A 15421-nucleotide genomic window follows, 5' to 3' on the forward strand; every position below is an offset into this window, starting at 1 on the left:
TCAGTGCTGGGTGTGACTCTGTGTTTATATTTGATACAACATGGCTCCTAAAACAAAATTTTTTACCAATGCAAATTTCACTTTAAACATTGGTTATACACCCTATGCCTGGGTAAGATTTTGTGGCTGAACCACAAGGAACCTGATCCATGTACTTGTGATGATGGTATATCACAAATATACCAGAACCTGATCAAATGAGGATTCACCACCAGTGACAGGCAGATAGGCAGACCTTATCAAACCATCCATTGACAAGAATCATAATGAAACCAACCTGAAATAGACTAAATCATTAAGAACACCAAGTTACATAACCTTCTCCATGAGGCTAGAGTGGGCACACAAGTGCTTCCTAGCCACAATAACCATGGTTTATTGAAAGAATATGGTTTTTAAATTTAAGACAATTTTTCAGAATTGTTCTCACAAAGAAAAGCTTTTTTCCTCAAAGAACATTTGGGGATCACATGTAAATGGGCTGCTAAAGGCCTCAGAGTTTCCCTGAGGCTAAGGGGTCTCTGTTACCTTACTTACATCATGATAGAGATCTAACAATAATATTCAGAAAACCAAAAGATAACCTTTATGCCCTAGCACAATCTATAAAATGCCATCACATCAACCAACATATCAATATATTAATTGCATCATATCAACATATTACAGTGGATACAATTTTCATCTATGGAAAAAACTAAATACTTAAAGAGGTAAGTACTTTGAAAATTAACTGGTACCCAAGAGCCTAGTAACTGAATACCACTCTTGAAGAGGATACTGACCCTTTGAAAAAGTCCTGTTTGCTGAGTTTTTCTGACTGTACCAGCTGATAGAGTAATTGGCCCATGTGATCCCTGGTGATCTGGCTCCTTTCCAGGGTGGACTCCACTCCCACTCTCACAAAAACATGTAGTAGGCCCTGGGCATTCAGCTCTTCCACACACTGCATGGCTTCCTGTTCCAACAGCAAAGAAAGGTTTACTCCAAAATCTGAATAGTGTTACCAGAATGTTAAGATAACTTTAAAATCTTTTACTTACAACAGAATCAGTAGAAACTTCCATGAACAGGACAGTTTTCAAATATAAGTTTATATTTGTTTAACATAATTTATAGCTCAGTAAATTACAGGCTGATATGGGCAATATTAAAAGTCATACAAAAAAAGAGCATTACAGCCCTTTTCAAATTTATCTAGTAGGTTTTCCAGTTTTTACCAGAGAACTGTTTTTATAAATAAAAAAAATTTTATAATGATGCATCTTTACAAAGCTAACATGTTTAGTTTAACAATTTTATTAAACATCACTCAAAGGGTGAGTCAAATGTATTTTTCTACATAATATTTACTTATTTTATGATCACTGATTTAAAAAATTGAAAATGGTATATTATGAAATAGAAATTTAATGTCATGATTCAAAAGCCTTAATGTGTCAACAGAGGTTACTGTGTCTGTGTAGGTTAATATTTGCACAATCTTCAATGAAAAAGGTCTTCCTTCATATGAAAGTTAAATTTAAGTGATATGGTTAGGTTAAGCATTAAAATTCTTTTAGTAAGTTCTTGTGGTATGCTTCTTAATTTGTGCTTGTTAACTGGTGTTTACTATAGAGTATCCAGCCAAGTCAATATCTTTGGTCTGAAGGGTGAAAGTCGGTCAGCCAGAGTTGCTGATACACCAATAAAGCAGTGTATCTCTCTGTTCTCAGCTACTGGAAATTAGTCTGGTGCCCTGAATTCACAATCTTTTGGTTCAACCTTTGCAGCAAAGTAGCTCTTCCAAGGGGGAGGATGTAGGTAGGAAGGGGGAGGATGTAGGTAGGAAGGGGGAGGATGTAGGTAGGAAGGGTGATGAACTGATGCAGAAGGGAGAAGGCTCATCTAGGTGTCTCACCACTGCCGCTTTTTCCTCCCTGCTCCTTTATTTAATACCTCCCTCACATTAACTTTTTATCTAACAAAATTTCAAGCCTACAGAAAAATTAAAGAGTCATACAATATACAACTACATATCTTCACTTTTAGATTCATCAATTGTTGTTTTCTTTCTGAATGTCCAAGAGATTTACTATAATGTCAATAAAAATATTTGATATATAGTACATATTCAAATTTCCACAACTGTCTCTGAATGTCTAATATAGCTTTTTGTTGTTGCTGAGTCCAGTTGAGAACCCGACTTTACATGTTATGTTGTTCAGATTCCTTTAATCTAAAATCGTCCTTTCTCTTTTTTGTCTTTTCATGACATTGCCATTTTTGAAACATTCAAGACAATTATCATGTAAAATGGTTTCTTTTTTCTTTTGAGACAGAGTTTCACTCTTGTTGCCCAGGCTGGAGTGCAATGACGTAATCTTGGCTCACTGTTACCTTTGCCTCCCAGGTTCAAGAGATTCTCCTGCCTCAGTCTCCCAAGTAGCTGGGATTATAGGCATGAGCCACTACGCCTGGCTAATTTTGTATTTTTAGTAGAGACAAGGTTTCTTCATGCTGGCCAGGCAGGTTTCAAACTCCTGACCTCAGGTAATCGCCTGCCTCAGCCTCCCAAAATGCTGGGATTATAGGCGTGAGCCACCGCGCCCGGCTGTAAAATGTTTCTTATATATGCTTTTAACCAACTAATTCCCTTTTGTTTCTGGCCACATCTGTACCTCACAGACAGTCTTAGTTTGTTAAATAAATTACCACTCATCCTTCTTATTTCCAACTTCCAGAACGTTGCTTCTGTCTATTCCCTGGTCTCTTCATCCTTGTGGGTCTTTTAGTTTTTTTTTTTTTTTAAAGAGAGAAGGTCTCACTTAGTTACCCAGGCTAGAGTGTAGTGGCATGATTATAGATCACTGCTGCTTCAAATTCCCAGGCTCAGGCAATCCTCCCGCCTCAGCCTCCCAAGTAGCTGGGACCACAGGCATGCCACCATGCCCGGCTAATTTAAAAAAATTTTTTTGTAAAGATGGATATCTTGCCCAGGCTGGTCTCAAATTCCTGGGCTCAAGTGATCCTCTAGCCTTAGCCTCCAAAAGTGCTGGGATTACAGGTGTGAGCCACCATACCTGGCCCCTTGTGGGTTTTTTAACCTTATTTTAAGCCAATCAACATCATTGTTATGCCTTTTCAAGAGGACTTGTAAATGAATGCAAATATTCAATCCTCAGGCTGGAAGCGGTGGCTCACACCTGTAATCCCAGCACGTTGGGAGGCCAAGGCGGGCAGATCATTTGAGGTTCAGCAGTATGAGACCAGCCTGGCCAAGAAGGTAAAACCCCGTGTCTACCAAAAATACAAAAATTAGCCGTGTGTAGTGGCACACGCCTGTAATCTCAGCCACTCGGGAGGCTGAGACAGGAAAATCGCTTGAACCCGGGAGGCGGAGGTTGCAGTGAGCTGTAATCACCCCACTGCACTCCAGCCTGGGCGACACGGTGAGACTCTGTCTCCAAAAAATAAATAAATAAATAAATAAAAATCATTCCTCAGTATTTAAATGGAAGTGATTAAATGTCTTCTAATGGGAATTCATTCACTGTGTTTGCATAAAGGGTCAATTAGCTATATCATGATATATATTTTTTAAACTTTTAAGATCAGGGGTACATGTGCAGGATGTGCAGCTTTGCTACATAGGTAAATGTGTGTCATGGGGGTTTGCTGTACGGATTATTTCATCACCCAGATACTAAGCCTAGTATCCATTAGTTATTTTTCCTGATCCTGTCTCTCTCCTTCCACCTTCTGTCCTCCAGTAGGCCCCAGTGTGCATTTTTCTCCTCTACGTGTCCATGTGTTCTCATCATTTAGTTTCCACTTATAAGTGAGAACATGAAGTATTTGCTTTTCTGTTCCTGCATTAGTTTGCTAAGGATAATGGCCTCCAGCTCTATCCATGTCCCTGCAAAGGAAAGGATCTTGGTCCTTTGTATGGCTGTATAATATTTCATGGTGTCTATGTACCGCATTTTCTTTATCCACTCTATCGTTGATGGGCATTTAGGTTGATTGCATGTTTTTGCTATTGTGAATAGTGCTACAATGAACATACGTGTGCATGTGTCTTTATAAGAGAACAATTTATATTCCTTTGGGTATATACACAGTAATGGGATTGCTGGGTGAAATGGTATTTCTGTCTCTAGGTCTCTCAGGAATCGCCACACTTCCACAATGGTTGAACTAATTTACCCTCCAACAGTGTAAAAGTGTTCCTTTTTCTCCACAACCTCGCCAACACCTATTATTTTTTGACTTTTTAATAATAGTCATTCTGACTGGTATTAGATGGTATCTCATTGTGGTTTTGATTTGTATTTCTCTAATAATCAGTGATATTGAGCTTTTTTATCTTGTGATTGTTGGCCACATGTATGTCTTCCTTTGAGTACTGTCTGTTCATGTCCTTTGTCTACTTTTTAGTGTGTGTTTTTTTTTTCTTGTAAATTTGTTTAAGCTCCTTACAGATGCTGCACATAAGACCTTTGTCGGGGGCCGGGCATGGTGGCTTACGCCTGTAATCCCAGTATTTGGGATGCGGATCACCTGAGGTTAGGAGTTTGAGATCAACCTGGCCAACGTGGCGAAACCCCGTCTCTACTAAAAATACAAAAAATTAGCTGGGTGTAGTGGCGGGCGCCTGTAATCCCAGCTACTCGGGAGGCTGAGGCAGGAGAATCACTTGAACCCGGGAGGCAGAGGTTGCAGTGAGCCAAGATTGCGCCACTGCACTCCAGCCTGGGCGACAAGAGCAACACTCCATCTCAAAAAACAAACAAAAAAAAGACAACAACAAAAAAAACCTTTGTCGGATGTGTATATTGCAAACATTTCCTCCTATTCTGTAAGTTGTCTGTTTATTCTGTTGATTGATAGTTTATTTTGCTGTGCAGAAGCTCTATAGTTTAATTAGATCCCATTTGTCAATTTTTGCTTTCGTTGCACTGTTTTTGGCATCTTCATCATGAAATCTTTGCCTGTGCCTATGTCCTGAATGGTATTGTGTAAGTTTTCTTCTTCATAGTTTTGAGTTTTACATTTTAATCCATCTTTAGTTGATTTTTGTATATGGTATAAAGAAAGGCTCCAGTTTCAATTTTCCGCTTATGACTAGCCAGGTATCCCAATACCATTTATTAAAAAGGGAATCCTTTCCCCATTGCTTGTTTTTGTCAGGTTTGTTGAAGATAAGATAATTGTAGGTGTGTAGTCTTATTTCTGGGTTCTCTATTCCGTTCCACTGGTCTATGTGTCTGTTCTTGTACCACACCACGTTGTTTTGGTTACTGTAGCCCTGTAATATAGTTTGAAGTAGGCTGGGCGCGGTGGCTCACGCCTGTAATCCCAGCACTTTGGGAGGCCAAGGAGGGCGGATCACAAGGTCAGGAGATCAAGACCATCCTGGCTAACACCGTGAAACCCCGTTTCTACTAAAAGTACAAAAAATTAGCCGGGCATGGTGGCGGGCGCCTGTAGTCTGAGCTACTTGGGAGGCTGAGGCAGGAGAATGGTGTGAACCCAGGAGGTGGAGCTTGCAGTGAGCCGAGATCGCGCCACTGCACTCCAGCCTGGGCAACAGTGCAAGACTCCATCTCAAGAAAAAAAATAAATAATAAATAAATAAAAAATAAAAAAAATACATATATATAGTTTGAAGTAGGGCAGTGTGATGCCTCCAGTTTTGTTCTTTTTGCTTACGACTGCCTTGGCTATTTGGGCTCCTTTTTTTGGTTCCATATGAATTTTTAAATACTTTTTTCTAGTTCTTTGTAGAATGTCAGTGGGAGTTTAATGGGAATAGCACTGAATCTATAAATTGCTTTGGGTCGCATAGCCATTTTCATGACAGTGATTCTTCCTATCCACAAGCATGGGATGTTTTTCCAGTTGTTTGTGTCATCTCTGATTTCTTTGAATAGTGGTTTGTAGTTCTCCTTGTAGTGATCCTTCACTTCCCTTGTTAGCTGTATTCCTAGGTATTTTATTCTTTTTGTGGCAATTGTGAATGGGAGTTCACTGGAGATTTGGCTTTCAGCTTGACTGATGCTAGTGATTTTTGCACTTTGATTTTGTATCCTGAGTCTTTGCTGAAGTTGCTTATCAGCTTAATAAGCTTTTGGGCTGAGATGATGGGGTTTTCTAGATACAGGTTCATGTCATCTGCAAACAGGGAGAGTTTGACTTCCTCTCTTCCTATCTGAATATGCTTTATTTCTTTCTCTAGCCTGATTACCCTGGCCAGTACTATGTTGAATAGGAGTGGTGAGAGAGGACATTCTTGTCTTGCACTGGTTTTCAAGGGTAATACTTCCAGCTATATCATTATACTCACAGTGTCATAGCAGTTCATAACCTCGCCCTTCCATCTGGTTTTCTTATGGTTTGCTTCTTTTTGTCTTTGAGCTTTTAGTTGAAATGATACTTCCTGTCTTCCCTGACTCCATCAAATCACATAATTTTAGTTTTTGGCACTGAAAACATTTTTTTGGTAGCTACTGTTTATTTATTAATTTACTACCTATCTTTAGGGCCAGACTTGTCTGTATCTCCCCACTGGAATGTAAGCTCCATGGAAGCAGATTTTGTTGTTCACTACAAATATGGTATACCCAGTCATAACCCCTAAAATGTGGCTAGCACACTTAGGTATTCAATAAATAAATAGCATAGAGGCTAAAACATGCACGGTGGGGTCAGACAGAGGTGCATTTGAACCCTGGCTCTGCCACTTACTACTTTAGAGTTTAGGAGTTTAACTTAATCTCTTGGGCTTAACTTTTTAGAGTTACCGTGAGGAATGTATATAAAATATAGGTATAAGAACTTGGCACAGTGCCAGGCACAAAATAAACCCTCAATAAATATTAATTTGAATCACTGTTAAAAACAATAGCACCTAATAGGAAGATATTTGGAAAAAATATTTTTAAGATCAGCTCTTTAAGTCTTTAGCCTGACACACTAATACCCCAAAGGTAATGAGATAAAGCATTTTCTCCTCTGAAGCTAGAAACTTAGCTTTGAATCCTCAATCTGGCACTTATTAGCAGTTAAGATTTTGAACAAGTTGATTTACATCTTTGCACCTCAGTTTCCTTATCTGAAAAATGGGTATGATAATAACATCAACTTCAGGAGAATGTTACGAGGACAATACAAACTAATACATGCCGAATATGTACAACAGCACCCAACGCAGAGTAAGTCCTCAGTAAATGCCCAATGTTAATACCTGTTTTAACCATATTGCAGGCACAGTTGCTTTGTACACTGCACAATGAAATTCTAAAGATACAACGATTCTGCCCCTTCTGTATTGCAAGCCTGGCCCAGGGCTCATGATTCTCCAAAGAGTCCTCCTATTGTACTCTTTAGGTGTTACTAAGGTCTTTTACTCCCTATACCTCCAGTTCATCACAGGATCATATTTTTCCCCTTTTAAAGGGTTATTCATTGACTTTGTACATCCTTCAAATTACATCTGAAGCCAATCTCCACTGTTTTCTTCCTTACTGTCTTGGCGTTTCATCTTTCTTGGCCATTCTAATTTTTTTGCAATTCGTTCACATTTCCCTACTTCCATGCAAGAAAAAGGCTATGCTGCCAATTTATAAGAATACCCCTAATTTTCCAGGAGGCTAACTGATGAATCACAGTACATCAGGTTTATTCTTTGGCTATTTCCCGTTAATGTTCATTTACTTTGGTACATTTCCAACAGTTTCTGCAAAGCACTCACCTCCACCTCACTCATCATCAAAAACTTCCTTCTACTTCTTCTGAATTTTGAAGAATTTCAGAGGCTTGAAGGCTTTAGAAGATTGAACTATAGATAACCAAGGTGATTTTTATATGTGGAAAGCAGATGATGATTACACTGTTAAGAAAACAAGTAATATTTTCTTTTTTTTTGTTTGTTTGAGACAGTCTCACTCTGTCACCCAGGATGGAATGCAGTGGATGATCTCGGCTCACTGCAACCTCTGCCTCCCGGGCTTCAAGTGATCCTCCCATCTCAGCCTCCTGAGTAGCTGGGACTACAGATGCGTGCCACCACACCTGGCTAATTTTTGTATTTTTTGTAGAGATGGGGCTTTATCATGTTGCCCAGGCTGGTCTCAAACTCTTGAGCTTAAGTGATCCTCCTGCCTCAGCTCCCAAGGTGCTGGGATTACAGGCATGAGTCACTGCACCCGGCCAAGAAAACAAATAATCTTGAAAGAATTTTTAATAATATAGTGCCAAAGCAGCAAAAGTAGTTAATATATCTGACAAATACTTTAACAGATAAGACTGTTTTAACAGATTAGCCTTTCCTGACCTCACATCACTTAATCAGATCCCATTAATGGATTTCTCCTAAGACCTATAGGTCTACTAGCATTTATCATAACTACAGTTAAGTAACTGCTAGTGGAGTTATTTGTTTATGGTTTGTCTCTGCCACTAGACTATAGGGTTCACAAGGTCAGGTAGAAATGTCTTATTCACTACTATCTCAAAATGAAGATTAAAGAGAAGGTAAGGGTTAAAGGGCAAATTCAAGGCCTTGTCTTGAAATCTCTGGCTTAGGCTGTCTGACCTGGCACATTGCTTGTTTCTTTATGCCTCAGTTTTATGAAATAAAGAAAAAGTAATGCTGGCCATATTTCAAGATTAATATGAGAATGATAACAGAATGATTATAAAGACCATGACAGGCCAGGTGTGGTGGCTCACGCCTGTAATCTCAGCACTTTGGGAGTCCGAGGTGGGTGATCATTTGAGGTCAGGAGTTCAAGACCAGCCTGGCCAAAATGGTGAAACCCCGCCTCTACTAAAAATACAAAAATTAGCTCAGCATGGTGACGGGCACCTGTAGTCCCAGCTACTTAGGAGGATGAGGTAGGAGAATTGCTTGAACTTGGGAGGCGGAGGTTGCAGTGAGCCGAGATCGTGCCACTGCACTCCAGCCTGGGCAACACAGCAAGACTCTGTCTCAAAAAAAAAAAAAAAAAAAAAAAAAAAAAGACCATGACAGCTATATACAGGGTGCCAGAAATGCTTCATAATGATAATGTGTTGTTTTTGTTCCTTAATATAGAAATCAATTTGGTTTTCCCTTAGTGGGGATGGATTGGTACTCATACTCTCTGCCCACCACTCTATGTTGTAAATTATAGTATCAAATTAAAAGAGAGTACTTGGCAGAAATGCATCAGCGTTAAGCAAACTGAATTGTGTAGGACTTGTATTACTCAACCTAAGTCTTATCAGTTCACAATGACACCTGATTTAGACCAGAACCAAGTTATTCTATACTATCAAAGGACTTACTGTGTGTGTGTTTTTTTTTTAATCTCATTTACCTTAAAATCATTAATGTGTAGAAATTCATCAATGATAGATTTCGACTTCCTCTCCAGTTCCTCTTCTGATAATGCAGCCTTGTCATGAGCTGACATTGCTGAAATTTCTGGTTTTGCTATTAGTGAGGCCCCCCAAAAAAAGTAAAAATAATAAAAATTACTATTAAAATAGTGAGATTATGGTTGACAATATTATGTGCTATTACATTATTTTAATAGCTACAAGACATTTAATAGATAAAAACAGAATACAGAAACCTTTTGTTTTAGAATAGATTCGCACTAAGTAACTTTATAATCTACAATAACAATGAACAAGATTTAGGAACATGATAAACTTTCCTAATTAAAGCTTTTTTGTTCCTTTCTGTATTATGATTGCTCCCCATTGCTTCAAAGATGAAGAGTACATGAGGTCTTCACAATCCTGCACAGGTCAGGGCCCTGCTCGCCACTAAGCTTGAGCCACACTGATCTTGGGCAGCTGCTTGAACAAACCGTGGCTATTCCTACTACAGCTCTGCTCACAGTAATCCTGTCTGGAGTGCTCTTTCCCTCTGTTTCACACCCATCCTTGCCTACGAACCTGTTTCATTCCTACTGGTCCTTCGGATGAAGGAAACCTCCCCTTGCCCCTATTCTACATAGCTCCTTGGTACCAGATAGTTCTAAGTATTCTCTTAGAACTAAATTCCTTCCTTCATAGCACCTTTCTCAGTTTGTGTCTTTCGTGGAATTACTAAAAAAGGTCTTTCTGACTCAGCAGACTGAAGGCCGAGAACAGGGATCAAGGGCCTCACATTCACTGTGCATCTGGTAAGTGTACAAATGAACCAGACAATAAAAACACATAGGGCAGCTGTGCTACATTATTCATTACACCCAAGATATTTTATGTCCTATCCTGTTATATTTCAAAAGTATCTAGCACAGATTTTAAAAAAGCCATATGTCCCTAAAGCTGTATTATCTAAAGTTACACCAATTGGGAGAAGACACTTCAATTTGTCTCTGAGATCCATTTAGGGACTACAGTTAAGAGATACAATTTATATAGTGAAACAAATTAGAAAGCTATATAAATACTAAAAAACTAAAACTGCTATTACTTCATGACTAATATTTAAAAGAGGCTGAAAATAATCTTCAATTTAAACTGTTTTCCATTGCTATATTCGTCATCACAACATTTAATACTTTTTGAAAACCTTGTATTTATCACGTAATGTTCTAAGTGTTTACGTGTATTAACTTCTTATTTAATTTTCATAATATCCTGAAAAGGTAGGTACAACTTATCCCCATTTAACAGATAAGGAAACTGAAACACAGGTTAAATACATGAAGCAATTTTTAGAGCATTATCCGAGCAAGTCCTCTAAGTATATACATGCTAAATGCATACAAAAACAACAGGTTACCACGGAAGATGAAGTCAGCTAAAGATAACCTAATACCTTCTCTTTGGTTTGTCTTGCAGTGGCTCAATGAGAATTTTCACACATTTGAGGAGCTCTACACAGCATACACAATCTAACAGCAACGTCAAGTGTGGGATGTTACAGGGACTTGTAAGAAATTCAGATTGCTTAAAATACAGCAGGAGGACCTCCTCACCATAACATTTAATAGAGAAAGGAGAAAATTTACAAACTGTTCAGCTAAGGCATACCTAGGGAATGAGAACTGTTATAAAACTATGAAGTACCCTTTAACTCTTCAGATGCTGGTATGTGTTGCTATTATGTGTTAATTCTAAAATCTACTCAGGCACAGTCTCTTTTTTATTTTTCCTTCCAAATTTAAAACCCAAATCTGCATCTGTTTAAGCCAAGTCTCTCACCTGACTCCCTTGTTTTATTTCGCTCAGCCTCAGTGCTGTTCCTCTCCACATCCACACCTCCTGTGAGCTGCTTCACGGTCTCCAGCATCTCTCTCCGCTGCTCTTCTTGAGACTGATTGTCTAGCAGGTCTTTACTGCTGCCACCCCTCATGAAAGTATTTGGCCGAGCTGTTGCAGATGGAAGGGGCTTGTCATTCTTCTCCCTGCCCATACTTCCACGACTTAAAAGACAAAACAACACTTTTCAAAGGAAAGACAAGCCCATGTCCCCCACATATTCAAATTATAAAATAACACTAAGACTTTCTGAAAGTATACAGAATTTTTCACAGATAACATTAGATGTGTGAGGCACCAATTATATTTCAAAGTTTATTCAACAAACAAGTAAAAGAGTGCTTTAAAGGGAATATTTATTAAGATGTTTTAACTTTTTTCTCTGAAGGGATACTATTTAACACTTTAACATGTCAGTGGTGGCCAGGCATGGTGGCTCACACCTGTAATCCCAGCGCTTTGGGAGGCCGAGCAGGGCAGATTACTTGAGGTCAGGAGTTCAAGACCAGCCTGGCCAACATGGTGAAACTGTGTTTCTACTAAAAATACAAAAATTAGCCGGGTTTGGTGGCGGGTGCCTGTAATCCCAGCTACTTGGGAGGCTGAGGCATGAGACTGGCCTGAAACTGCGAGGAGGAAGTAGCAGTGAGCCAAGATTGCGCCACTGCACTCTAGCCTGGGTGACAGTGAGACTCTGTCTCAAAAAAAGCCAGTGATAATTTTGGTAATTTCTTTCTCTTTTCTTTTTTGAGATGGAGTTTTACTCTTGTTGCCCAGGCTGGAGTGCAATGGCGTAATCTCGGCTCACTGCAACCTCCGCCTACGGGTTCAAGTGATTCTCTTGCCTCAACCTCCTGAGTAGCTGGGATTACAGACAGGGTTTCTCCATGTTGGTCAGGCTGGTCTCGAACTCCCGATCTCAGGTGATCTGCCCACCTCGGCCTCCCAAACTGCTGGGATTACAGGCGTGAGCCACTGTGCCCGGCCTTAATTTTGGCAATTTCTTTTTTTAGTTTTAAAAAATCTTTCAGGAATAAAGAAGACAATGATAAAGTATGAGTTACATAAATGAAAGGGAAACAAATATTATAAGAACATGGTATCACTATCTCAGAAATTATGCAATGATACCTTTTTATTTAGAATCTTTAAACATATGGAAAATATTTGAGAATCAAGAAGAAGCTGTCTTGGATTAGCCAACGCTATATATTTTATTCCTTTTAAGAGAGACTCTCCATATTTCCTGATTCGTCTTCTTTTAGACAATTCTAACCAGCTGAGCAAACAGTTCGTTGGCCCGTGGCAGACCAGAAGCAGCAAATTAAAAGGGAAAAGGAGAGACTCGGGCAGGAAAATGGTCTAACTATTGTGAAAGAACATACACAAGTGCTTAGGAAGCAGAACCATTAGGGGACATTTATGACAGGGCAAAGCGCCACAAGTGATACTCAATGACAACCTGAATCATCATGAAAAGCTGCCTTGTGCTAACTATACTTTGTTTCAATAGAAGTCAAGGGAATAAGAACACAGTTTACAAAGTCTACCTAATCAAACTTATTACAATAATAATAATAAAAAGCCTGATGGGAGCATCGCTTGAGACCAGGAGTTCAATGCCAGCCTGGGCAACATAGCAAGATGCCATCTCTAAAAAATAATAATTAAAAAAAAAAAGTTTTAGAGCTTAAAGAAACTTCAATTCTGAAAGTGCTTATGTAAAAAATGTTATTTTTTGTGACTGCACTACAGGGTGCCCATTCATTTTATGTAAACCAGCCAACAGGATACTTGACTGTATCAATCCTAGAAAAGCAAAAGCAGAAAGATAGTGAAATATGGAGACTAGCAAAAACTGAAGGACAACCTCAAATATAACATGAAGAGTGTGACAGAGAAATGTATGGGTGGATTGTCATGTTCTTTAATTCCCATGGTTGAGAATGCTAGGTGCTTCTAGAACATCTGGAGGATTAGCTTGCGGAGCCCCTAGACATGCCTCCAGGGCTGTTTGGGTGGGCCTAGCTTTCTTAAGAATCCCTTCCCTCCCATCCCATCCCAAATTCACCACCCAATTATGTTCCTATCTTAGAAATTATAGTGTGTGAAGATTAAAGAAATCAACTTTAGGAATAAAAGGAATGCATCCATAAGGATTGCTATCAAAACCCTTGTTCTTATCTTGCCACACATACTGGCAAGCGGGCCAGCCTTGAGTAGACATAAAAAGCAGGGTTCTCACCTAGTTAAGGTCCTTCGGGAATCAAACTCTACAGGCGTGGATGGCGTGGACCCTGAGGGTGCTGGAGGTTGCAGGGCAGAGAATCTGTTTAAACTGGAAGCACTTGACCGTAAGGCATCTACACATGTCGAGGATTTAGAAAAAAATACAAATCACATGACTAAAATGCAAATAATCAGTCATCTGCATCCCTAGGTGAGGCCTGAGACCAGGCATTCCTAACAAGCTTAGGTGACGCCCATCTCCTGGTCCCTCTACCATATTCTGAGAAGCAAAGTGTTAGAGGGAATTTGCACATAATAGAGTTTAGAAGTCTTTATTTATTTCAACCATTGGTTCCTTTAAAAACATAGTAAACAGGGGTGGGAGTGGCATATAGGAGGAGGAAGGCAAGCGAAAACAGAACAAAACTTTAACAAAGCTAACCAGCACAAATGCTCCAATCTCATTTGTGCACAAATATGCATGTGGGTTTTACTGAATAATGACATTTTTTAAAATTTAAAGAAAAAAAGGTTGAAATTACTTAGTAGAAGGGACATATAGGAAGTAGGTTAACATTAAATTTTTTTTCTTTCCATTGGGCTTCCTCAAGCTAGTAAGATGTGTTTGTGAGATCCAAACATCTTTGGTCCTGAGGTCAAATCTCTCAAAATCTGATTTTCGAAAAAGATTTTGAACAATGTTTCTTTATTCTTTTACAGCTCCCTAAAATTATAGTAAATGCTCTGCATATTAAGATTCTTTTATCAGCATAATGAGTTTCCCTTTTAATTTAGGGTCCCAGTAATTTCTCTAGCTATATTAAATTTGTGAACAACAACAAAAAGGGAACCTAAAAAATTAAGGTCTTAGTGGCTGAGTGTGGCTCATAACTGTAATCCCAGCACGCAGGAGGCCAAGGTGGGAGGATCACTGCAGCCCACGAGTGCAAGACTAGCCTAGGCAACACAGTGAGACTCCATCTCTACAAAAAATTAAAAAAAAAAAAAAAAATCAGCCAGGTGTGATGGCGTGCACCTGTAGTCCCAGCTACTCAGGAGACTGAGGCAGGAAGATTGCTTGAACCTAGGTGGTTGAGGCTGTGGTGAGTTGTGATCATGCCACTACACTCCAGCCTGGGTGACAGAGCGGGATCCCATCTCAAAAATATATAAATAAATAAATAAATAAATAAATAAATAAAGGTCTTAATTAAATAGTCTAAATGAATGAATTGAAATTAAAAAAATACTTAAAATTATTTAAGGATCCTGAGAAAGGATCTATGTTGAAAGGAAAGGGCTACCAATAAAATTTTAGGCATGATTAGTCTACACATCTTTCCCAAAAACCATCATTCGATGACTATGGGAATGCGCTGTAAGGCAAATGCTAACAAGCCACAGCCAGGTTTGAGAAGGGACACACACACTTACCAGTCTCACTTGCCTTTGCTCCACCACTGCTGCCTTTTCCCCAGCTGCCTAGCTGTGCTTTAGGTACCAGCTGAATTTTTTCATCAATTGTAGGCTGTAACATAAGGGACCACAAGTCAATTATAGGAAATATTCTAGAAGAATAGTTTTTCTTTTATTTTTTTCTTCTTCAGTGAAGTAGAACCAATTTTAGCAACAAAAATTTGTTTGGAATGCCAATTTAATAGAAACAGAAATTGGAGCTGTTCTCATTAAACTGGGATCCATGTGGCCCCTGAAGCACTTCCCTGGACTCCAGTTTCCACAAAAAACTGTTTGGTCTAGAGAATGCATCCAGGTCCTCCTGTTTAAGATGGTTTATGAATTTGCTAACTGTAATAAGCAGTTTCTAATCATTCTTCTTGTACAATACCCATTAATTTTAAAAATAAAAAATACAAATACTACAAAATTAATTCATTAGTGTCTTTACATGACTGTCAGAAAACAGATCAACAGACATAAAAATTTCATG

At 39.0% G+C, this 15421-nt stretch overlaps 1 protein-coding gene and 1 pseudogene across 62 annotated transcripts in view; one reads left to right on the plus strand and one right to left on the minus strand.

Moving 5' to 3' along the window:
* The window catches only part of EIF4G3 (eukaryotic translation initiation factor 4 gamma 3), a 370606-nt gene that overhangs the window by 33779 nt on the left and 321406 nt on the right, over positions 1-15421 (minus strand). For all 62 annotated transcript variants that reach the window (XM_047433321.1, XM_047433366.1, XM_047433324.1 and 59 more), the window contains 5 exons: positions 14908-15001; positions 13490-13607; positions 11188-11408; positions 9345-9460; positions 786-958 (listed from right to left, as the gene is read on the minus strand). In XM_047433321.1, coding sequence (XP_047289277.1) covers positions 786-958; positions 9345-9460; positions 11188-11408; positions 13490-13607; positions 14908-15001 — 722 coding nt within the window. The remainder of the gene's footprint in view (positions 1-785; positions 959-9344; positions 9461-11187; positions 11409-13489; positions 13608-14907; positions 15002-15421) is intronic.
* Positions 1171-1232, plus strand: RNU7-200P (RNA, U7 small nuclear 200 pseudogene; annotated as a pseudogene).

This window comes from Homo sapiens, chromosome 1 (genome assembly GCF_000001405.40).
Source record: "Homo sapiens chromosome 1, GRCh38.p14 Primary Assembly".
NCBI lineage: Eukaryota > Metazoa > Chordata > Mammalia > Primates > Hominidae > Homo > Homo sapiens.